General features: G+C 36.9%; 1 protein-coding gene and 1 pseudogene across 5 annotated transcripts in view, besides 4 other annotated features; both read right to left on the bottom strand.

Annotated features, from left to right (window-relative positions):
* The window catches only part of MNAT1 (MNAT1 component of CDK activating kinase), a 235,205-nt gene that overhangs the window by 171,058 nt on the left and 40,939 nt on the right, over positions 1 to 23,208 (bottom strand). For 3 of the 5 annotated variants that reach the window (NM_002431.4, NM_001177963.2, XM_005267688.4), the window contains exons 2-3: positions 2,539 to 2,691; positions 748 to 821 (exon numbers count right to left, since the gene is read on the bottom strand). In NM_002431.4, coding sequence (NP_002422.1) covers positions 748 to 821; positions 2,539 to 2,691 — 227 coding nt within the window. Of the gene's footprint in view, positions 1 to 747; positions 822 to 2,538; positions 2,692 to 5,830; positions 5,865 to 7,206; positions 7,552 to 23,208 lie in introns of those variants that run through there. The other 2 variants (XM_017021332.3, XM_047431413.1) reach the window with 2 other exon arrangements.
* Positions 5,383 to 5,592: a silencer, noted in NCBI's record as "fragment chr14:61260034-61260243 (GRCh37/hg19 assembly coordinates)". NCBI's record gives its function as "represses an EF-1alpha promoter that drives an FKBP-Casp9 reporter gene in an ReSE screen in K562 erythroleukemia cells {active_cell/tissue: K562}" and the evidence as "EXISTENCE:reporter gene assay evidence [ECO:0000049][PMID:32094911]".
* Positions 8,297 to 8,826: an enhancer, noted in NCBI's record as "OCT4-NANOG hESC enhancer chr14:61256800-61257329 (GRCh37/hg19 assembly coordinates)". NCBI's record gives its function as "activates a minimal SCP1, AML or CMV promoter by ChIP-STARR-seq in naive H9 embryonic stem cells {active_cell/tissue: H9 hESC(naive)}" and the evidence as "EXISTENCE:reporter gene assay evidence [ECO:0000049][PMID:30033119]".
* On the bottom strand, positions 17,641 to 19,043 carry MAD2L1P1 (mitotic arrest deficient 2 like 1 pseudogene 1; annotated as a pseudogene).
* Positions 18,415 to 18,915: an enhancer, noted in NCBI's record as "H3K4me1 hESC enhancer chr14:61246711-61247211 (GRCh37/hg19 assembly coordinates)". NCBI's record gives its function as "activates a minimal SCP1, AML or CMV promoter by ChIP-STARR-seq in primed H9 embryonic stem cells {active_cell/tissue: H9 hESC(primed)}" and the evidence as "EXISTENCE:reporter gene assay evidence [ECO:0000049][PMID:30033119]".
* Positions 18,916 to 19,416: an enhancer, noted in NCBI's record as "H3K4me1 hESC enhancer chr14:61246210-61246710 (GRCh37/hg19 assembly coordinates)". NCBI's record gives its function as "activates a minimal SCP1, AML or CMV promoter by ChIP-STARR-seq in primed H9 embryonic stem cells {active_cell/tissue: H9 hESC(primed)}" and the evidence as "EXISTENCE:reporter gene assay evidence [ECO:0000049][PMID:30033119]".

The following is a 23,208-nucleotide window of genomic DNA, read 5'->3' as shown; positions in this document are numbered from 1 at the left end:
AAATGATTGCTGTTTGATCCTCATAGTCTCATTCTAATGTTCACAGTATATAACCTTTGTGTCATTTCCAAACCCGCACTTAGTAATAATTACTGCAAGTTTAAAAAGCAGCATTATTTTTTAAATCAACATATAACAACTTCCAAAGTTTTTAACATCTCTGAAATTTTATTTAAGAAAACTGAAATCATTTTTTCTTGATAAAATCTTCCTTTTGACTAAACACATCAGAAAGAAAAGGCACAAAGATTACTCCAACCTCTGATTCCAGAATAATACTGATTAATAGAATGCCACTTCAACAGTCAACTGCTTCAAAGTACTTTAAGACTACTATATCCACAGAAGCACAAATAATGATAAACATATGGCTTTAGTCACTATAAATATGGTTAATAGGAACCCCATTTTTGAAAAATCAGAATATGTTTTCCATTCATTTAAACTACTCTAATATGTTATCAACACACAGATGCATGTACCCATATAGTCTTCCTCCCCAGCTATGAAGTGTTACTATCTCTATTAAACATATTTTTCCTAAAAGACAATATTAAATAGGTTCTTTACTTAAGTATGCCTTCAATTTGACAAACATGACTCAAGTGCAAAAGAAAGTAATTAGGTAAATGTTAGCTATCACAACAAAACCTGTTAAGAGGTTTTTATGTGAGATGTTCTCCTAAGCATTTAAAAGATAAAAGCACATGGTCTTATAGGCTAGCATACATCAAATTAAAAACGTACCAATTTCTTCCACTTCTTCCAAGAAATCATTGTATTCTCTTAGACTAGGAAAATCTTCTTCCCTTTTATTGTATCTTTAAGAAAAGAAAAAAGAAATCTACATATTACATATCATTGCTTTTAATATTATCTAACTGGTTTGCTTGTTCTGACCTAATTCATATATGATACATGGAAAAGAATTGCTTACTGTGTAAAACATCGTTCTCTATTTTTTTATTTTTATTTTTTGAGATGGAGTCTTGCTCTGTTGTCCAGGCTGGAGTGCAGTGGCACAATCTTGGCTCACTGCTACCTCCATCTCTCTGGTTCAAGCAATTCTGCTGCCTCAGCCCCCCGAATAGCTGGGATTATTACAGGCGCACACCACCATATCCACTTAATGTTTTTTGTATTTAGTAGAGATGGGACTTCACCATGTTGGCCAGGCTGGTCTCAAACTCTGATCTCAAGTGATCCACCACCTCGGCCTCCCAAAGTGCTGGGATTACAAGCATGAGCCACCGCGCCCAGCCTAAAACACTGTTTTTCTTGACACCAGGTTTGTAACCAGACCAAAAATGCAATTCTTAAATTCTTATGACTACGGAGAAGAAGTAGGATCAGGAGAAAATGGTACAATATGCAAAATCCTTGTTAAGACTTCAGGGAAAGATAAATTGGGAGCTTGAAAGATTGGGAAATGAGCTTAAGCAAGACATAACATTGGAAATTATGGTATTATTTACTTCTAAGGGATTCACTAATTTCCAAAACACAAAAAATTGAAGCGACTCCTCCATTTTTCATGACATAGTCTAAAAAATACTGGATCAAGAAAATCTGTATATATTGTAATGTACCTGTAAAGAATCAGTAAATTGCAAGGAATTACCAATGAAAGATCAAAATCTAAGAGACTACCTTGCAGAAGTTATACAAACAATAAAAGAGCCGCTAGGCGGATTGATAAAGTATTATTGGTTATGTACCTAGAAAGATGCTGCTAAAACACTGGTTACCTGGGTTGAAATGTATACCACCAAAAATAAAAATAAACATATCAATTATTTCTCATAATAACAGATAAAAGGAAACCCAAAACTATTAACAAAGAGTAAAGAGTAAAGCCTAAATTGTAAATGAAAAAGACAGATTAATAATATATAGGTATATATATACATATATACACACATATATTTACTATGCCCATGTGTGTATATCTATATACACAAAAATACACATACCAAAATAAACTATAGCTAACACGTAATTTTCTCTAATAGCCTTCAAACTTCAACTTAATGTTACCTCCTCTGCCCACACCTGACATCATTGACCACAGCAACACTGAGTCACTAACTATATAGCACTATTCTCAATCTATAATAAATAACATTTGTTTTGGTTTACTTGTTTTTTTGTCTTTTTGCTATCCTATGCTACTGTATGGTAAGTCTCATGAGGACAGAGTTCATAGCTGTTTTACTCATCACTTCATAACTACTGCTTAACATGCATAACATGTTTACACATAGTAGTGTTTACACATAGTAGGTACTCAATACATAGTAGGTACTCAATACATGTTTATTAATCAAAGAATAAATACAAATGAATAATGAAGCCATCAATCAAGAGGCTCTTCTTTAACAAAGATAAATAATATTACTCAGTTCTCTAAGAACTTAAATGAATTTATAGTTATTTACTTGCTAATCTGTCCACATTTATGAGCAAATAATAATCAATTACTGACATAATTGTTAAAGTCCTCTTTGTTGACTGAATCATTCGAGCAGGAATACTTACATCTTTAGCACTTTTTTCCTGATCTCAACCTCCTTGTCAACAGTGGGATCTTCAAAGAGTTGTACCCTGAAGTTGCTCTTTCTGAGTGGAGTACCACACTCAGGGCAGTTTCCAGCTCCTCTCACAAACAGTAAATCTACACAACTTTCACAGCTGTAAGGACAGAAATAAAACATAACATTTAAGCCAATGTTCAAATCTACAACACATCTGAATAGTTTGCCCCTATGGGATAAGGAGAGTGAGACTTGAAAACTAGTCACTTCTATTTAAAATCTTACCAAAAAACTTTCTGGAAAATGTTCTTTTTCATTTGGAGCTTACTTTTCAGATATAGGTATCCCAAGTGATACCAGTTTAGTTTTACAGATCAAACAAATTTATAAATTAAAACAAATTGAGTGAGAGACTAGGAAGAAGAGCAGGATAGGGAGAAGTCAAAGAGCATGTAAAAGGCTACTGTATGGTCACCTCCATCCCCAGTCCCAATATCATCCATAGACCTGGGCAAGAGAAGCCTCTGCCAGGGGCCTGCTCTTTAGAGAGCCCTATATACCCCAAGCACTAAAACAGATGTTTTTTTCTTCCTTTCCTTGTAAGAATGTCTTTTGAAAGTTCAGTAATCAACTGAGCAAATGACAATTACAAGAAAGAGGTGCTAGCTGAATGAGGCCTCACTGGCCAGAGGATAAAGAACTTTGAGCGCTCCAGTATGTGTGAGGGAGAAAATGAACACAACTTCTGCCATGAGAAATCCCAGAAAGAGTGGCTGCTTATAAAAGCTTTATTCGGTTAAAGTTCGTTGCCCCAAATAAAGCAAACCGAATTCCCAGGCAAGCCAGGTTTCCCAGATACCTGCATCCCCTTTTCTGGTAGTGCAACATTAAGAAGGGCTTACAACTTCCTAGAAGACTTGAGTTGAAAAAACAATGAACTGGAGAGGCAAACCTCTCTATAACCAGATTCCTGGGGACTTGGTGGGATCTGTTAATATACTGTTTTAGATGGGTCTAGGTACCACCCCAATCATCCCTGCCCTACCCCAACAGATCCATACTACCACTCAGTCAGGCAGGTTACAAAGATGGATGGGAGGAGAGAGCAGTTCCTTTAGCCTCTGAGTCTTGAGGGTATAGGCTGCTGGCAACTCAACATGCTGTGTAGGAAATCAGGCTGGGCCAAGGATGTGGCTTGATTTATAACTTTTAAATATTCGAATGTTTTGATAAATATTTAAACATTTGTAGTCCTCCAGGTGTAATCTTGCCCAATTCCATATGTGTTAGGACCACACAGTCCTAATCACTCCTTTTGTTGGCAATATCTGACATCATCTTATTTATTTCTGTGTTCTGTCTCCTAGACAAGGAAGTACAGTATATTTCATAAAGACAGAATGTTGCCTATCTTGTTCTCTATCCGCAGTGCCTAACGCTAAGTACTCACTAAGTAAACTTCACAAAACAAAAAAATGAATACAAGACAAAGGGAAAAAGAGAAATTCTAATGAATAGGGAAGAGTTGATTTCTTCCAAGTGTGTATTTAACTTACAGAATAAGCTAAATAAGAAAAGTAATAAGAAAAATAAGAATTTTTAAGGTTATTAGTAAAATACTAACATTGATCTTTAAATATATACATACACACACAGACATATATATACACACATATGTATATATATACCTATTTTATATATATATATATATATTTTTTTTTTTTTTTTTTTTTTTTTGAGAATGCAGTGAAGTTGTCACAGCTCTCTGCAGCCTTGCCCTCCCAGATTCAGGCAATCGTCCTACATCAGGCTCCTCAGTAGCTGGGATAACAAGCACACACTGTCACGCTCTGCTAATTTTTTTATTTTTTTGTAGAGACTGGGACTCCCCATGTTGCTCAGGCTGGTCTCGAACTCCTGGGCTCAAGCGATCCTCCTGCCTTGACCTCCCAAGGTTCTGGGATTATAGGCATGAGCCACCACTCCTGGCCTATATTTCTATCTTAATAGTGTCACTAAAAAATAACAGGGAAAAATTCCAAAGATCATAGTGTCATTAGCAAGATCAACTAAACCCCAGATAAACCACTCTGGACTTAGGAAGTTTCAGAGTGGTGCATTTTCACTATTCTTTGTGGTTAGAGGAAATTAAACCCATCCATGGAAGGTGAAAACAGGCAAACTTTACAACTATACTAACTAAAGATATTTATAAGTAAGCATCTATCCAAAATAGTCAAAATTACAGAGCCACAAATAACATTAATATATCTCAAGGTCTTGGAGATTAGACTCAATCAATAGTTTAGTCAGCAAGGTAATATAGAACATTAATATTTCTAAACGTTATATTGTATATTAGACATAATATATTGTTTCCAAAATCAGTTGTACATCTCCACTTTTTATAATCTGCCTTGTCATAATAATTTAAATAGTATTAAAATTTTTTATTGCAGTTTATTTTCCTACGTAACATTTTCCATTTCTAATTTTAACTGTGAAAAGAATATTTTTTCTTTAAAGCTTATAAAATATAGAATTATATAGAAAAATAACTCAAAGTTCTACTTCATTGTGTTCTGTATCTCACTTCCCACGGGTAATATGCTACTGTTGAGTTTAGTGTTTGTGTGGCCACATCTTTTTCTACATATTTACAAAATACATATATAAAAACTAATCATTAAAAAAAAGAACAGGCCAGGCCTAGTTGCTTACGCCTATAATCCCAGTGCTTTGGGAGGGCAAAGCAGGAAGATAGCTTGAGGCCAAGAATATAAGACCAGCCTAGACAACATGGCTAGATCCCTCCCTCTACAAAATATAAAAATTTAAAAAAAATTAGCTAGATGTGGTGGTGCATGCCTGTAGTCCTAGCTACTCAGGAGGCTGAGGCAGGACAATCACTTGAGCCCAGGAGTTCAAGGTTACTGTCAGCTGTGATTAGCCACTGCACTCCAGCCTGCGTGACAAAGCAAGACCTATATCCAAAAATAAATAAATAAATAAATAAAATAACAGGAAAAATAGGCTGGGTGCAGTGGCTCACACATGTAATCCCATCACTTTGGGAGGCCAAGGCAGGCAGGTCACTTGGGCCCAGGAGTTTGAGACTGGCCTGGGCAACATGGCAAAACCTCATTCCTACAAAAAAACAAACAAACAAACAAGCAAAAAACAACAACAACAACACCAACAAATTAGCCGGGCATGGTGGCACACGCTTGCGTCCCAGCTACTCAGGAGGCTGAGATGGGAGCTACTCAGGAGGCTGCAGTGTGCTGTGATCATACCAGTGAACTCCAGTCTGGGCGACAGAGCAAGACCCTGTTTCAAAAAAAAAAAAAGAAGAAGAAGAAGAAGTAGTAGTTGATAATTGCTAGTTCATTTTATCTGGCAACAGAGCAACCAAAACAGCAGTATATGGGCAATCTTTTGCCTCTAGGAGTGCTAGGAATTTTTTCAAATAAAACTTTACATTCTGCAGAAAACAGAAAAATCTGCTGAAGAAGCCCAAATTTTCAGTCATTATCCATTTCCAAAAATATTTTTATGGTTTTTGTTTTTAAAAATCAGAATGACATCCTTTTTCTCTCTGAATGACATATTTTTAGCAGATTTTATTTTATCAAGAATATTCTCGTCAAAATTTTAGTCAATTGTTCACTTTACTTTTTAAAGAGCAACTATATTCCATGTCAAATTTCAAATATTATTAAAACATACTGGCCTAAAAGAAATATTCATAGTTTGTCAAAAACTCTATACTTAAGACTTTCTGTGAAGTAACCTAGTTTTATCAGCACTTTCCATTCTTCGTTAGCTCCTTGGCTTTTAAAAATGAAACAGAAACCTATGGTCTTGAAAGCTAAAAAACAAGTAATAACATTGTAAAAGAAAAATTTTATTTTTACAATAAATTCTTCCTTAAGCCCATGTGTACTAAATTCTGTAAGAAAGAAGCAGGATATTATTTTTTAAAAAATTTCCTCCCAAAATAAACCTAACTTGTCTATACAAGAAAATATTGATTGAAGTGCCATATCTTTGAACATTAAAACTTTAGAAACCTTAATTCAACTAAATCATTTGCCAAAAATCTCTGCTCTAACCGAATCATAGAAATTTTAGAGGTAGAAATGACCTAAATGATCACCAGTTAATTAAAATATTATCAACATCCAATAATGAAATGCGTTTAAGGATTCATGGAAAACACATGAAAAAAATAACACCTGGTGCATTTTAGAAAAGGCAGTCAATTTACAAATAGACTTTGTTCCAATAGTTTGCTTACAAATTAGCTACTTGGAACTCAAAATACATTTTTCCCAAATAAACTATTTATATGTGATGGTTAGGGTTTTCAACTAAACTGGCCCAAAGAAGATGAACAAAATATTAGACATTTTCTTTTCTTATTTTTCTCTCCTTCCTAACCGTCACCATGAGTTGATGATATCAGCTTTCAAGTGGGAATTAAACTGGAATTTTAAAAGAATATTCTACAAGTTTTAGTCCCCAGAAAGTAACCAATTGAATCTTCACCTTAAAAAGGTTTCACATTTTCTTAAAGCCCAGATATTTGTAATTTTAAAAAACTTATGACCTCAAAATGAATAACTTTTGATAGAAGGGGTATACAATCTTAATAAAAGTAGAGACTTACTTATTTGCATACATGGATTTCAAGCCAATTAGCCACGGGATCCAGTTAACTTTGTCTACGATAATCATTTCTCATTTATCTCAGCAACTAAAATAGGAATGTGTTACATTTACTTATGTGGCATTCTCAATTTAAACTTTGGAATATTTGCTGTTAAATTTCCTCATCAGTCCTTTCATACCTTTAGGCTAAATTGCTATGAATCACTTGATACCTAAAAGGGAACTCAGAATCTATGTATTCCAAATCCTGAGAAAAAATTTATATAAACTACCTCAACAAAGTGCTTTTGGAATATGAAGCAAAAGAATTCATCCACAGGTAGAGAAGTGATGGCCTGGGAGCAGGTATTAAAACATTATGAAGAGATAGTAGACTTTCAGAAGAAAAGATATTGCCCTCAAAATTTAAAAAAGCATGTTTACCCATTTTTTCATTATCTTAGAACTCAAAATTAATGTCTAATCAATCTTCTGTTGGCTATTATCATTTAGCATAGCAATTTTCAACTAACAAGCAAATAATATAAGGTACAAATTCAAATAGTATATTTAAGTCCATTCTGAGCCAGAAAAACGGAGCTGTGTAAAAACAAATATTTGTACTCAAGGGAAAAGGAAAGAGTTAATAATTAAATAAAGCTGTGCCAGAAAAACTCACTTTCAAAAAAATGGGTTTGTATCCTCCTGACAGACAGCAAGGACCATGGAATCTATCCAGTTTTCCTTTTTGCCCCTTTGCCAGAAAACTCCTAAGCCAAATTTAAATCCTTTATGGAATAACACTATAAATATTTTCTAGAAAGAGGTTGGAAATATATGAAGGAACATAGAAAGAAAATAACATTAATTAGGGCTTTTGCGATATGATGTAGATATTATTTTCCTTACTACATAGATGAGGGCACTAAGCATGGAGAAGTCAAATAACTGGCTTAAAATCATATAACTAGTAAGAATTCACCATTACCCTGTGAATCCCATATTTCTGAGACAGGACTCAGTCAATTTAGGAAGTTTATTTTGCCAAAGTTAAGGACACACCCTCAGGAGGTCCTGATGACATGTTCCCAAAGTGGTCGAGTACAGCTTGCTTTTATACATTTTATATTGATAATCATGACATACATTTTATATTAATAATCAATATGTGTAAGATGTACATCGGTTTGGTCCAGTAAGGTGGGACAAGTCGAAGTGGGGGCTTCCAGGTTAGAAGTAGATGAGAGACAAAAGGTTGGATTATTTTGAGTCCTTGATCAGCCTTCCACTGAATACACAATTTAGTCTGGCTCAGTGAATCTGCATTTTTACATAAACAATAGGGCAGAGGAAGCAATCAGAGATTCATTTGTCTCAGATGAGCCTCAGAGGAATGACTTTCAATAGAATGGGAGGCAGGTTTGCACTAAGCAGTTCCCAGCTTGACTTTTCCCTTTAGCTTAGTGATTTTGGGGGTCCCAAGATTTATTTCCCTTTTACAGTCCTCTTCATACTCTACACTTTCTCCTTCTATCTTATTCTTACAATTTTTACAATGACCTATGAAAATAATCATCCTAAGTATCTATTTCTAGCCTAAAAATCTCTCCTAAATTCCTATTACACACTGCCCATTGCACAATTACTCTTTGATATCCCACAAGTTACCTCAAACTCAACATACTCAAAACCAATATTCTTCTGTCTGTGTCAGATACACCAACTTTGTGCATAAACATTCATATACTATGGTGAAAATAGAAAAAAAAAGAAAGAAAAAGTAACTCTATTACAAAAGCATACTTTGAATACTATCGTAAGCTTTCAGCCAATGAGCAACAGCTCAACAAATTATACTACATACTCCTAGCCAGCATGTGTTAATAACACATCATATTCCAAATGCTCTAAGCCAAGAACATTTTCTGAAATATGTGGACTATTCTGTAGCCATTCTTTCTGCCACTGATGAACAGTTTCATCCTGATAGCTAAAAAGGGTGTGCATGTGATAGTGCTGGATGTTAAGATTTAAGACATTAGAGGCTCAAAGCCCCTTCAGGGATATGGTTGAGGAAACAAGGTAAAAGCTAGAAATTGGAGGGAAAAGTCTGTCTAACTTTATGAAGGGCTTCAGAAATAATACTGCAGACTGGGAGAACTGACAATTACAGGCATGCCTCATTTTATTGCGAATTGCCTTATTGGGCTTTGCAGATATTTCATTTTTTACAAATTCAAGATTTGTGGCAACGCTGCCATGGAATGAGTCTATCGGCACCATTTTTCCAACAGCATATGCTTACTTCACGTCTCTGTTTCACATTTTGGTAATTCTCACAATATTTCAAACATTTTCATTATCGTTATATCTGACATGGTGTTATGTGATCAGTGATCTTTGGTGTTACCATTTTAATTGTTTCAGGGCACCATGAAAAGCACCCATATAAGACAGCAAACTTAATAAATGTTGTATGTACTCCAACTGCTTCACCAACTGACTGTTCCTCCAACTCTCTCCCTCTTCTCAGACCTCCCATTCCTTGAGACACAACAATATTTAAATTAGGCCAATTAATAACCCTACAATGGACTCTTAGGTGTTCAGGTGAAAAAAACAATCACAGGTTTCTCACTTTAAATCAAAAGACAGAAATGACCAAGCTTCCTGAGGAGGGTGTATCATAAGCTGAGATAGCCCAAAAGCTAGGCCAACTGCACCAGTTAGCCAAGTCATGAATGCAAAGGAAAAGTCCTCGAAGGAAATTAAAAGCACTGCGCCAATGACACACAATGTTAAGAAAGCAAAACAGTCTTATCATTTATACAGAGAAAGTTTCAGTGGTCTGGATAAAAGATCAAACCAGCCACAACATTCCCTTAAACCAAAACCTAATCCAGATCCTAATACCTAACTCTCTTCAATCCTATAAAGGTTGAGAAAGGTGAGGAAGTTGCAGAAGAAAAGTCTGAAGCTAGCAGAGGTTGGTTCATGAAATTCAAGGAAAGATGCTGTTTCCATAACATAAAAGTGCAAGGTGAAGCAGCAAGTGCTGATATGGAGGCTTCAGCAAGTTATCCATAATATCTATCTAAGATAATGATGAAGGTGGCTACACTGAAAAACAGACTTTTCAATGCAGATGAAACATCCTTCTATTGGAAGATGCCGTCTAGGACTTCCATAGCTACAGAGGAGAAGCCAATGCCTGGTTTCAAAGCTTCAAAGGCAAGGGTGTCTTTTCAGGAGATAGTGCAGCTGATGACTAAATTGAAACCAATGTTCATTTGTCATTTTGAAAAATCATAAAGCCCTTAAATATTATGCTAAATCTATACTGCCTGTGCTCTATAAATGGAAGAATAAAGCCTGAATGATGGCGCATCTATTTACAGCATGGTTTGCTTAATATTTGAACCCACTGTTGAGACCTATTGCTCGGAAAAAAAGATTCCTTCCAAAATGTTACTGCCCATTGACAATGAATCTGGTCACCTAAGACCTCTGATGGATATGTGCAAGGACATGAATGTTGTTTTCATGCCTGCTAACACAACATCCATTCAAAAGCCCATGGGTCAAGGAGTAATTCTGACATTGAAGTCTTGTTATTTAAGTAATACATGTCATAATGCTGTAGCTGCTACAGACAATGATTCCTCTGATAGATCTGGGCAAAGCAAATTCAAAACCTTTTTGAAAGGATTCACCATTCTAGATGCCATTAAGAACATGTGTGATTCATGTGAAAAGATAAAAAATATTAACATTAAAAGGCATTTGGAAGAAGTTGATTCCAATCCTCACAGATGACTTTCAGGGTCTGACTTCAGTGGAGAAAATAACTGCAGATATGGCAGAAACAGCGAGAGAACTAGAATTAGAAGTGGAGCCTGAAGATGTGACTGAATTGCTGCAATCTCATGATCAAACTTGAACAAATGAGGAGTTTGGGCTTCTTAGGGATGATTCTTGATATGGAATCTACTCCTGGTGAAGATGCTGTGAACACTGTTGAAATGACAAGAGATTCAGAAATAACATATACAGTTAGTTGATAAAGCTGTGGCAAGGTTTGAGAATTGATTCCAATTTTGCGAGGAATTTTCCAGTAAGTAAATGTTATCAAACAGCATCACATGCTCCAGGGAAATCTTTCATGAAAGGAAGAGTCAATAAATGCAACGAACTTCATTGTTGTCTCATTTTAAGAAATCACCAAGGCCACCCCAACCTTCAGCAATCACCATCCTGATCAGTCAGGAGCCATCAACATCTGGGCAAGACCTTCTACTAGCACAAAGATTATAGTCACTTTCGAAGGCTCAGATGATTGTTAGCAATTTTTAGCAGTAAAGTATATTTTAATTAAGGTATGCACACTGTTTTTTAGTCATATTGATATTGTACACTTAATATACTACAGTATAGTGTAAACATAACTTTCATACACACTAAGAAATCAAAAAGTTTGTGTGACACACTTTATTGTGCTAGTCACTTTATTGTGCTATTTGTTGTATTATGATATTTGCTTTACTGTGGTGGTCAGAAACCAAACCAGCAATATGTCTGAGGTATGTCTGCATACGAGTAATAAGGGAAAGCACCATGGCCACAGGAGCATTCAGGACTTTGGAGACTTGAAAGAACGATGTCCCACTAAACCAAGCTAGCATTTGCATACAGACCTTTACTATAATTCTACTTCGGGGAAAGGAAGGGCAAATTCAACTAATACTCTGATTTCCATTAATGCCACTGCACTAAATAAGGTATGTCTTTACTTCCACCATGATTCAAAGGAGTTAAAAATACATGTAACTAAGTATGTCCAAAAACAATGTCAGCAATTACCTGAAAAGGCTATTATTAAAATGCTTATCCCTTTTCCAAATAGGTATCTATAGATGCCAGATAGTCTTCATTTATTTCAACCAAAACATACAACAGACTCAACACAGAAGCAGATGTGAGAATCTAGTTTTCTTCTCTTAAGCCAAGCATTTTTAAAAGATTTGCAAAAATGTAAAACAATGCTACTCATCTCACAAAATTTTTTTGTTTTGGAAAATATAGTTATGTTTCATAAAAATACATTGTGGTAACATGTAATAGGTTTATAATTTTTGATGAATAAATGAACATTTCAAAGTTTCCAAATTTTAATTCCTAATATGATAAATGTTAACAGATATAACTTTCATAAATAAGAGGTCTTGAGGGTCATCAATAACTTTTAAAATTATAAAAGTTACTAACACCAAAAAGTCTGAGAACCACTGTTACATGTGACCAATAAAAGATTGCTTATAATGAACAAATGAACTCAAAGGAATGCAATCATAATTTAAGTGTTCCCCAAACTACCCAAGCCATTAAGATTTTCTCATTTATTAGTACTAAAATATTTTTTAAATTTTCCACTGTTACTATTGTTCTAGCTCTCTCTTCACTTCTTATTTTGTTTTTCTACCTCTTTCTCTTGATTAGAAATGCTACATGTTTGTCTAAGTTGTATAAAGGCCCTTTTAAAGAATCACTATAAAGAAACTTGAATTTCACAATTTTTTGTGTGTTTTCCAATTTACTAATTTCTACTTTTCTATTATTTATTTTATTCAATTTTTCTTAATTATATTTTGTTTCTATTTCTTAGAGTTTAACACTGGGTTTATTTTCATTATTTCACTCTTCATATCCACAACAGTTTGTACTTTTCTACTATTTTTAAGAGGCCATGAAAAAATATATATAATTCATTTTTTAAACTATTTCTTCTAGGTCAATATTTATCAAGCATCCATTATTATGACCTTTTAAATAGAATAAAATATAACAACTAGTCAAGATGCTATTTCTATTCATTAGGTCCTCAAATATTTAAGCTAAACAGTTGGCTATCCTCTCAGTACTATGCCAGGTGCCTTGTCAAATGCAAAGCTGAACCCTCAAATGTTTGATGAGTACAAGAATATACATTCTTGTGAATCAATTAAAAACAGTTGATACTAGCAAATAATTATAGACTAAATTATATAAGCTATATAAAGCAGATGTGTGAGAATAAACTATCATCTCCTACCTCAACAACAGAAAATTCCAGAAGATCCATACAGAGAATGTGGGGCTATGAAGGCAAGAACTGTATTTGGTTTATGACAAGCAATGCTTAACTCAAGGTGAAATAGTTCTAAAAATACAATGTTCTCATTTTTGTTTTCTTGAAAGCAAAGTATATCAATGTTTGCTCAACATTTGCTAACATTTTCAATTAATCATTTAAATCCCTAATAAACACTAGGGAAAATCAATTAATAAAATAACAGACAAGTTTGAGACCCGTTCCCCAGATTGTTTCAAAACCTAAGTTATATTTTATATTTGTAATTTTTTATTTTTCTGATTAGTATTGACAACTATTTTTGAATTACACTAATAAAGAGGGGGAAATGGAAACCTTTTAAAAAATCAAATGGCCACCCAACAATCAACTTAATTAAATGAGTTATTATAGGTAAAAGAACTTAAATCAATTCCTGATACATAGTAAATGTTCACTGAGTGCTAGCTGGCTGGGCGTGGTGGCTCATGCCTATAATCCCAGCATTTTGGGAGGCTGAGGCCTCCTGAGGTCAGGGGTTTGAGACCAGCCTGTCCAACATAGTGAAATCCCATCTCTACTAAAAATACAAAAATTAGCTGGGCATGGTGGTACACACCTGTAGTCCCAGCTACTCAGGAGGCTGAGACACAAGAATTGCTTGAACCTGGGAGCCAGAGGTTGCAGTGAGCTGAGATCACACCACTGCACTGCAGCCTAGGCAACAGAGTTGAGACTCGTTCTCAAAAAAAAAAAAGTGTTAGCTATAGCTACACATTTATCAAGTCCTTTCCACTTGACCAAAGAATTCTTACACTTTCCAGAAACTAACTGTAAAAAGAGTATTTTCGTTGCCTGGCACGGTGGCTCATGCCTGTAATCCCAGCACTTTGGGAAGCCGAGGTGGGCGGATCACAAAGTCAGGAGTTCGAGACTAGCCTGGCCAACATGTAGAAACCCCATCTCTACTAAAAATTAGCCAGGCACAGTGGCGGGCAACTGTAATCCCAGAAGGCTGGGGCAGGAGACCTGCTTGAACCCGGGAGGCGGAGGTTGCAGTGAGCTGAGATCACACCACTGCACTCCAGCCTGGGTGACAGGGCAAGACTCTGTCTTGCGGGGGAAAAAATATTTTCAGCCTTGTGTAGTGGCTCACATCTATAATCCCAACACTTTGGAAGGCCGCAGCAGGAGGATCATTTAAGTCCAGGGGTTCAAGACCAGCCTGAGCAACACAGCAAGACCCTCATCTCTATTTAAAAAAAAAAAAAATGTTTTTAGTTAGCTGGGTGGCTGGGCGCAGTGGCTCATGCCTGTAATCCCAGGACTTTGGGAGGCAGAGGCGGGTGGATCACCTGAGGTCAGGAGTTTGAGACCAGCCTGGCCAACATGGCAAAACCTCGCCTCTACTAAAAAAAAAAAAAAAAAAAAAAAATTAGCCAGGCATGGTGGCACGTATCTGTAATCCCAGCTACTAGGGAGGCTGAGGCAGGAGAACGGCTTGAACCCAGGAGGCGGAGGCGGAGGTTGCAGTGAGCCGAGATTGTGTCACTGCACTCCAGCTTGGGCGACAGAGCAAGACTCCATCTCAAATTAAATAAATAAAATAAAAAATAAAAGTAAATTAGCTGGGCATAGTGGCCTGTAGTCCCAGCTACTTGGGAGGCTGAAGTGCAAGGATCGCTTGAGCCCAGGAAGTTGGAGATACAGTTAGCTGTGATCGCACCACTGCATTACACCCTGGGTGACAGAGTAAGACCCTATCTCAAAAAATACGTAAATATTTTGCTCTTTATTTAAAAGTAAAACTAAAGGCCGGGCGCGGTGGCTCACGCCTGTAATCCCAGCACTTTGGGAGGTCGAGGCCAAGGAAGGCAGATCACGAGGTCAGGAGATCGAGACCGTCCTGGCTAACACGGTGAAACCCTGTCTCTACTGAAAATACAAAAAATTAGCTGGGCGTGGTGGCAGGTGCCTGTAGTCCCAGCTACTCGGGAGCCTGAGGCAGGAGAATGGCGTGAACCTGGGAGGCAGAGCTTGCAGTGAGCCAAGATCACACCACTGCACTCCAGCCTGGGCTAGAGCACAGCTTTGCTGGTAATAATACATTCTTCCAAATTTGTACCAACATAATGGTATGTATTATTATAACAAAGTAAGAGAATATGCTACTTTGAAGGTACATAACTTTGCTTCTAAAAAGCATGGTCTACATAAAGACCATGATTTAAAAATAAAAGCTGCACTAAATATGATTTTCTCCTTTTACAGATAGCAAGACAAAATGACCTGTCCAGGTCATAGTTTAAGTGCAGGCCAGAAATCTGTCACCTAATCTCTGGGGATCTCTCTACCAACTGAATAGAATGTTACAGGTCTAGCCAAACCCCACAGCTTCAGAACCAGGAGATCTCATAGTGTTATTTATCTGTGGTTCTGGAGTATTCAAACCAACAGGTCTTATTAGAAAGCTTAGACCCACTTGACAATGAATGATTAGGTTTATGTTACTCTATGGCAAATCTAAAGGTCATACCAAATTCATTATCATCACCTACGAACATCTACTAGGGATTTGTTATAAGTAGTAAATCCGTCTAATGAAGTATGAAATATAAAGCCATACTATAAAGAAGTATAAGATTTTATCCCTGCCTTCAGGGATGTATTATATAGTTAGGAAAGAACACACCCATAAAACAACAGAACAAAGTTATGTCTGCTAAGTGTTAATATAAGTGGTAAATTCATTCCTGAGCAATTATTTATTGAGCAACTGAGAGGGAGCAGAGCATACTGGTTAAGGGCACAGACTCTGAAGCCAGTTTGCCTGCTTTTCCTTATTTAAATTATTAAACCTCTCTGTGCCTCTGTTTCCTTCCTTGTGAGAAATAAAAAGAATACCTACATAGGGGTAAAAACCTAGCTTTCAGAGCTGATGAGATTTACATTAGTTAATACAGGTAAAATGCTTAGAAATATACCAGACACATAGTACACTCTCAATAAACATTAGCCATTAGAAATATTACTTAATACAAGGAATACCCAGTAAGGACCAGATTTCAAAGGAGCCAGTAACAAGGATTACAACTGTTAAAGGATTCAAGAAATAGGTTGAATTGAGCTGGGCCATGAAAAATGTGCTGGCCTTGAAATATGAAAGAAGGATGACATTCCAGGCAGAGATCACAAAAAAAATAAAGGTATCAATACACACAGTGTATACATGGAACAATAAACACAACGTTTTGACAAAAAATAAAAACAGTCCATGTAAGGTAGTCCTTCTCACCCTTTTCTACCACAGTATTCTTAAATGATAAAGAATGAACTTCCTGGAAAATTGGGGAAATGGCCTCAAATGGTCCCCCATAAGCTCAACATGTCTTCAAATTGTATCACGTTTTAGCTTAAAAAGCTAAAACTTCATGAAAGTTCTATTTGACTCCATAATTCAAACAGCCTTATTTCATTGAAAAATGTCCTCAAATAGTTACCAGTTATTCAATTACTCAATCTTTTTCATATTCTTTAGGTAAAATTGACATTCCAGGAAGATGTCTATGGATTCATGTACCACCAACATAACAGCACACTGTAAGGAACAAGTATACTTCTGTTAAAAAAAAAAAAAAAATCACACACACACACACACACAAACAAAATCCATGCATACATGGAAATACGGCATAGGAAAGAGGTAGTATTACAAATCAATGTGGAAATAAATGACTACTAAATAAATACTTGAGACACTAAATAAATGCTTTCTAGATAAGGAGAGATGCTTCTAGATAAGGAGAGAAAAAAACTAGATCCCTATCTTTCACCCTATACACAAAAAGAAATCCCCTATGAACAAATGACTAAAGATCAAAGAGAAAACTTTAAACTTTTATCAAATTATAGGAGAATATAATTACGAGATCAGGGCAGAAATTTCCTAAAAGTAACTAAAAAAATTTAAACCATGTAAAGGAGATTGATAAATTTCATTTTATCAAAATTTAAGGCCAGGTGTGGTGGCTCACATCTGTAGTCCCAGCACTTTGTGGGGGCCAAGGCTGAAGAAGCACTTGAGGTCAGGAGTTTGAGATCAGCAAGACCCCATCATCTCTAAAAACAACAATTTTAAATTTAAAACTTTTCATAAGTGGGAGGGGAAACACAATACTATTAAAAGACTTGCCACAAACTAGAAAACAATTTTTTCATCATACATAAAAGATAATATTCATACTATATAAAGAGGTTCTACAAATCAATAAATGATGCTATAGAAAAATGAGTGGATTATATGAGCAGGCAAATTACACCACACAAATCCACTTGCTTCTTTTTTTGTTTTTAACAAACTTATTTCCTCACTTAAAACTTGATTTTATAAAACACAAAAAAAAATTTTTAAGAGTTCTGTATCACAGAACATCAAGCAGTACAAATATCCATCCCTTCACAGGTTCAAGTTACATAAATTAAAGTCAAATAATTGGAAACTGATTCGATAGGGAAAATTATGCATGAAATGAAGGTCAAAAGGAGCTACACAGCAATATTTCATTGTTTATAGATTATTAGTTACTTTCAGGACTTTAACAAAGATTCTGAATATTTAGACTTCCTTTGCTGTATTTTATAATTAAATATCTCCCTACCTATACTGAGTCAAGCTACTTGACCAAAACATCTGATTTAGGAAAGCACTTAGCTTTATAGCACAAGTTTTTCCATCTACAGTTACTATCTTCAAAGGAATATACATCACAATGTTGACAAAAAAAAAACCTCCTGGTTCCTTTTGAATAATGCACAATAAATTCATGATGTTAACTCCATGGTGAGTCAAATAGGTACCAAAAAAACAAAAGGAACAATTACACACAGTTCAGTAAGTATCATTTTGGTTTTCTCCATGTATAAATTAACCAATGAAATAAAACATATCAACTATAGATGACTTGATTTCAGGAAAACCACATTTCAAAATTACAATTACATTATTTCCTCATGTCATCTTCAGTCATTGACAGGAATTTTGTAGGCCACCATGCTATTTACTTTGTGGATTGTAGTAGTAAATGAACAAAGGCAGACTTCCTCAGAATTGGTAATAAACTGTGGTCCCGACTCTTCCCATTTTTCAGGTACAACCAAATCTTTGTCTGTGTAAATCAGCAGATCAAATGAACAAGAAACTTCCAACAGTGGCAGAAATGTCACTGTAGCTGTGATCTGTCTGATGACTGAACGGATTTCATCCTGAATAGCTTTCTGAGACTTTTCTCTGGGTGCACTGTCATCTTTTGCAGTCTTATCACACTCAATATCAAACTGTCATCTTTCCAGGACCTCACCACTTTCAATATTTGAGATAACTACAACCAGTTTCTGAACTGAACACTTGTATAACCAATCTTTTAGTTGTTCCACCACATTATTTAGGTATTTTATGAGCTCAAGATCAGTAGTTACAAGCAAGGTGAGTCCGTATTTCTGCACTCGAGTAAAGATTTCAGATGGATAAATGCCACGCTGATATAAAATGCTGTTGATGCCGAATGAGAAGAACTCGTCCACGATTTCGGCACTCCCACGCAGGGTGATTCCCTGCTCCCGGGAGAGCTGCAGCGCCATGGCCAGGGACACATGGCCAGGGACACAAACAAAGGCACGCGCTTTCACTACACGGACAGCAACCACAGCGGCTCCAACAGCACTTCCCCGCCAAGAGTTTCAAAAGTAAAGACCATCCACTTGCTTCTTAGAGTAAGTTCACTCTAGCAGGAAACAGCTTCTTTTTTTTTTCTTTTTTTCTTTTTTTTTCTTTGAGACGGAGTCTCACTTTGTTGCCAGGCTGGAGTGCAGTGGTGCGATCTCGGCTCACTGCAATCTCCACCTCCCGGGTTCAAGCGATTCCCCTGCCTCAGCCTCCTGAGTAGCTGGGATTACAGGCGTGCACCACCACACCCAGCTAATTTTTTGTATTTTAGTGGAGACGGGGTCTCACCATGTTGGTCAGGATGGTCTTGATCTCCTGACCTCATGATCCTCCTGCTCGGCCTCCCAAAATGGTGGGATTACAGGTGTGGGCCACCGCGCCCAGCCGGAAACAGCTTCTTAAGGATTCTACTTATTTTGTTTCCACGGGAAACTTTCAAGAGAAGAAGACAAACTATAGTCCCAATGCTGTAGTTGATTTCCTGGCCATAACAGATCATCATCCCTCTTTAGAGTCCCCTCATCCTCTGCTAGCACTTATGCTGGTGTAAGCAGCTTGCCAGTAGAGCGATCCAGATCCTTTTATCTAAGAGGTTTGAAACTCTGGTTACCATGCCCTTTTTAGGCAATGGCTACTGTATTTGTACATTTATTAAAATAATGGGCTTAGGAACACCATGAGACATATCAGCGGATCCCCTGAATGCCAGACATATTCTTCTCTGTCCATACCGTGATAATGATCAGAGTCAATTACCCTTACCAGGATGGTGACTCCTTTTCTTCCCTAGTGATTTTGGCAAGAGGAGCCCAAAGTGACCAGACAGCAGGCATGGCTTAAAATTTAATGGAACTCTCATTGTGTCTGTTCCCTAGTAGGGCATTTCTACTTCTGGAGACAAGAACCTCTAAGCCCACAGGGTCTAAAGCTATATGAATGGAAAGCATAAATTCCTCAAGTAAGGATTGGGTATGATAGTAAATGAGACCACTCCTATTCCATCCCTTGGTTGTTGAACCCGTGTACATATTACCTGTTGAGGATACTTAATATAATGAATATCCATATGATGGCCAAGCATTCTGGAGGGATGAAACCCATCCTTGTAGAGGATCACCTCCAATCTGGCATCTCAGTTGTACCTTTATGAGCCCATTACAACTGTTCTATCAATCCAGAGGATTATAGGTGGAGCAGTATGAGTTAAGACCAGTGGATTCATGAACTTTGGCCCACTGCTACACATCTTTCCTGTAAAGTGCGACTCTTGGTAAGAGACAATATTACTCAAGATCCCGTATTAGTGGATCAAACACTCTGTAAGTCCTCAGATAGTGGTGCTGGCTGTGGACTTATGGGCAGAAAAAGCAAACATGTGGACCCAGAATATGTGTTAATCCCAAACTAGAAGAAATGCTGTCCCTTCCAAGGTGAGGGAAGGTACAGTTTTAGAGGCTTCCACTTGATCTTCCCCCACTAGGAAAGCACTTAACCAAACTGGTCAAGGAGCCAAGTTGAGAATTCTGCCAACTACCATGTATGTTGATTCCAATTACAAAACTAGGAACCAGAGAAAGGACTCTGATAACAGAGACACACTGTGAGTTAAATCTGGGCCAGAACTCTATTTATTATAATTATCTGAGTCTCATACACCCCTCCCCATTCTAACAAGAGTAGGTCATAGCACTTTAGGTCCCCAGATTTCAATGTCATTTCACTCTGACCAATAATTCTTCATAGGTTTGCAGCCAAAACTGAATCACTGAAGATGACTAGCAGAGCAAGCATCAAGTAGTAACTGGGCTGAATAGTGACTCAGAATCTTAAAAGAATCAAAACAAACCCACTATCACCAAGTTAGACCCAGCACAGATTTCAAAGTCTGCCTGGCATTCCTTCAGTTGTTGCCAATAGAAATGAATTCTCAGACTGCTCTGGTTTGCTCCAGAACCCAGCCTATTAAATTCAGCCAACTAAGCATAACCATCTAGCTATTTGTATGGCTATTATACTTGTTATGGTCTACTTTGTTCTCATCCTAATCTTTCCACTAGAAGATGCTTCTATAGATAGCATCTATAGAAGATAGATACTCCTAATGCTATGTTTTATATTCAGTTAGATACTTTGATGGCACAAGAGCAGACTCTATGGTAAACAAAGATGTAAACATGAAAGGTATCAGTGTAGAGATAACCTTTTCCCAATATTTATTATAATCTTTTCCCAATATGTATTATGGAATGAGAATGGGGGGACTAAGCAAAAAGAGGACCTCAACAGGCTAGCCATACAAGCAATTAAAAAAACATCCAATATGAAGGTAAAGAAAACAATTGTAAATTTAAAAGTATGCAGAAAATACATGAGATTAAATCAAATACCTTTATTTGGACTGCTTATGCTACATCAAAATTTTAAAATAGACTGAAAAACAAAAATTTTGGGGGGGGAGAGGTGGGGTACAAGTAAAGACGAGGTCTTGCTGTGTTGTCCAAGCTGGTCTCAGATTCCTGGCCTTAAGCGATCCTCCCAACTCAGCCTCCCAAAATGCTGAGATTACAGGCATGAGCCACTGCACCCATCCAAAAACAAAATCTTATATGTAGTAGAGTGTCAATAATGGGATTATACAAAGAGAAACACATACCTTACCTAGAGAGCTAGTTTCCTAAAGCTATTTAAGCATATTTCCCCTTCTCCCAACTACTCAAATTAACTTCCTAAAACACTATTCAAAGGCTGGGCATGGTGGCTCACGCCTGTAATCCCAGGACTTTAGGAGGCTGAGGCAGGTGGATTGCTTGAGCCCAGGAGTTCCATACCAACCTGGGCAACATGGCGAAACCTTGTCTCTACTAAAAATACAAAAAAATTAGCCGGGAGTGGTGGTGTGCACCTGTAATCCCAGCTACTCAGGAGGCTGGGGTAGGAGAAACACCTGAGCCCGGGAAGTCAAGGCTGCATCAGGCAATGATCATGCCACTGCACTCCAGCCTAGGCAAAGAGAGTGAGACTCTGTCTCAAAAAAACAAAAACCAAAACAAACAAACAACAACAAAAAAAACCACAACACTATACAAGTCCATTTAAATTTAAATGTTGTACACCTTTTTCCTGCCATGATCACAATCACTGTATTCTCATGTCCTCCCCATCACCCTCTGGAACCACTTATAGTGAATATGATCCAAAGTATTCTCAATACGTAATACATACTCATATTGCAGACACTTCAATCAGTGATACTAGTTCTGGAATCCCACCATCTTTATCCTCAGTTATGGCCTCCCCTAAAAGTATCTGCTCCTCCCCCCCCAGGACAGTTTTCAGCATCTGGCTTATATGGTCTGGTCTCCCTGTTCACCACTATACCTATCATCATTTTTGGCAACTTGAACATCCTCATAAATAAGCCAGGCATTATCCTAGACATTTAATTCCTTGGACTGCCTCACTCCAATGATCTCTTGCCCCATCCCACTTAAGTCACTCACCCTCATACCTTCAGCCTGCAATCTTGTCATTATCAATATATATATATCTCTCTGCTGGGTTGTCTGTTTCTAGCATCTCACTCTCTGAACACCTTTCCCTCTCCTTTCAGATGACTTGCATTAAATACCACTACTCTATCCTTTGACCTCACAAGGAGCTCCCATCCACTGACACTACTACTTTTCCCTATTTATCACCCCTCTCAAGGTCCTAACCTCATCCTTACACAAGCATACATTACAGCATCTAGAATTAAAACCAATCCTTTGCAAATGCATTTAACTCACTTGCTCCTCTCCACTGTTGTTCCACCTGATCCATCTATGGTTGAAGCCATCTATCTACCAGTCCATGACTGTATCTGAGCAGCTAAATTTTGCTGAAGAAAAACATCTCATAACCTTACTGAAGTTCACACTAAAATTATTCACACTAAAATTAACACCACAGATCTCAGATGAAGACTCAACACTGCCAGACATTCCTTCTACAATTTTTAATTAAAGTCATTTTCCCATTCCCTGAATGAACCATTTCATACTTTCTTCTCTCTCCTCAGACTTCTCACATTTCCCATTCTCACCTCAATCATAGCTAGTGACCTAGCCTCATACTATAGAGACAAAAATAATCTCATTTCTAAACACCAATGCCATCAATCTACCTGTTTCTATAACCATATTAACTGCATT

Source organism: Homo sapiens, chromosome 14 (assembly GCF_000001405.40).
Source record: "Homo sapiens chromosome 14, GRCh38.p14 Primary Assembly".
Lineage (NCBI taxonomy): Eukaryota > Metazoa > Chordata > Mammalia > Primates > Hominidae > Homo > Homo sapiens.
This window is presented reverse-complemented; position numbering and strand designations above follow the sequence as displayed.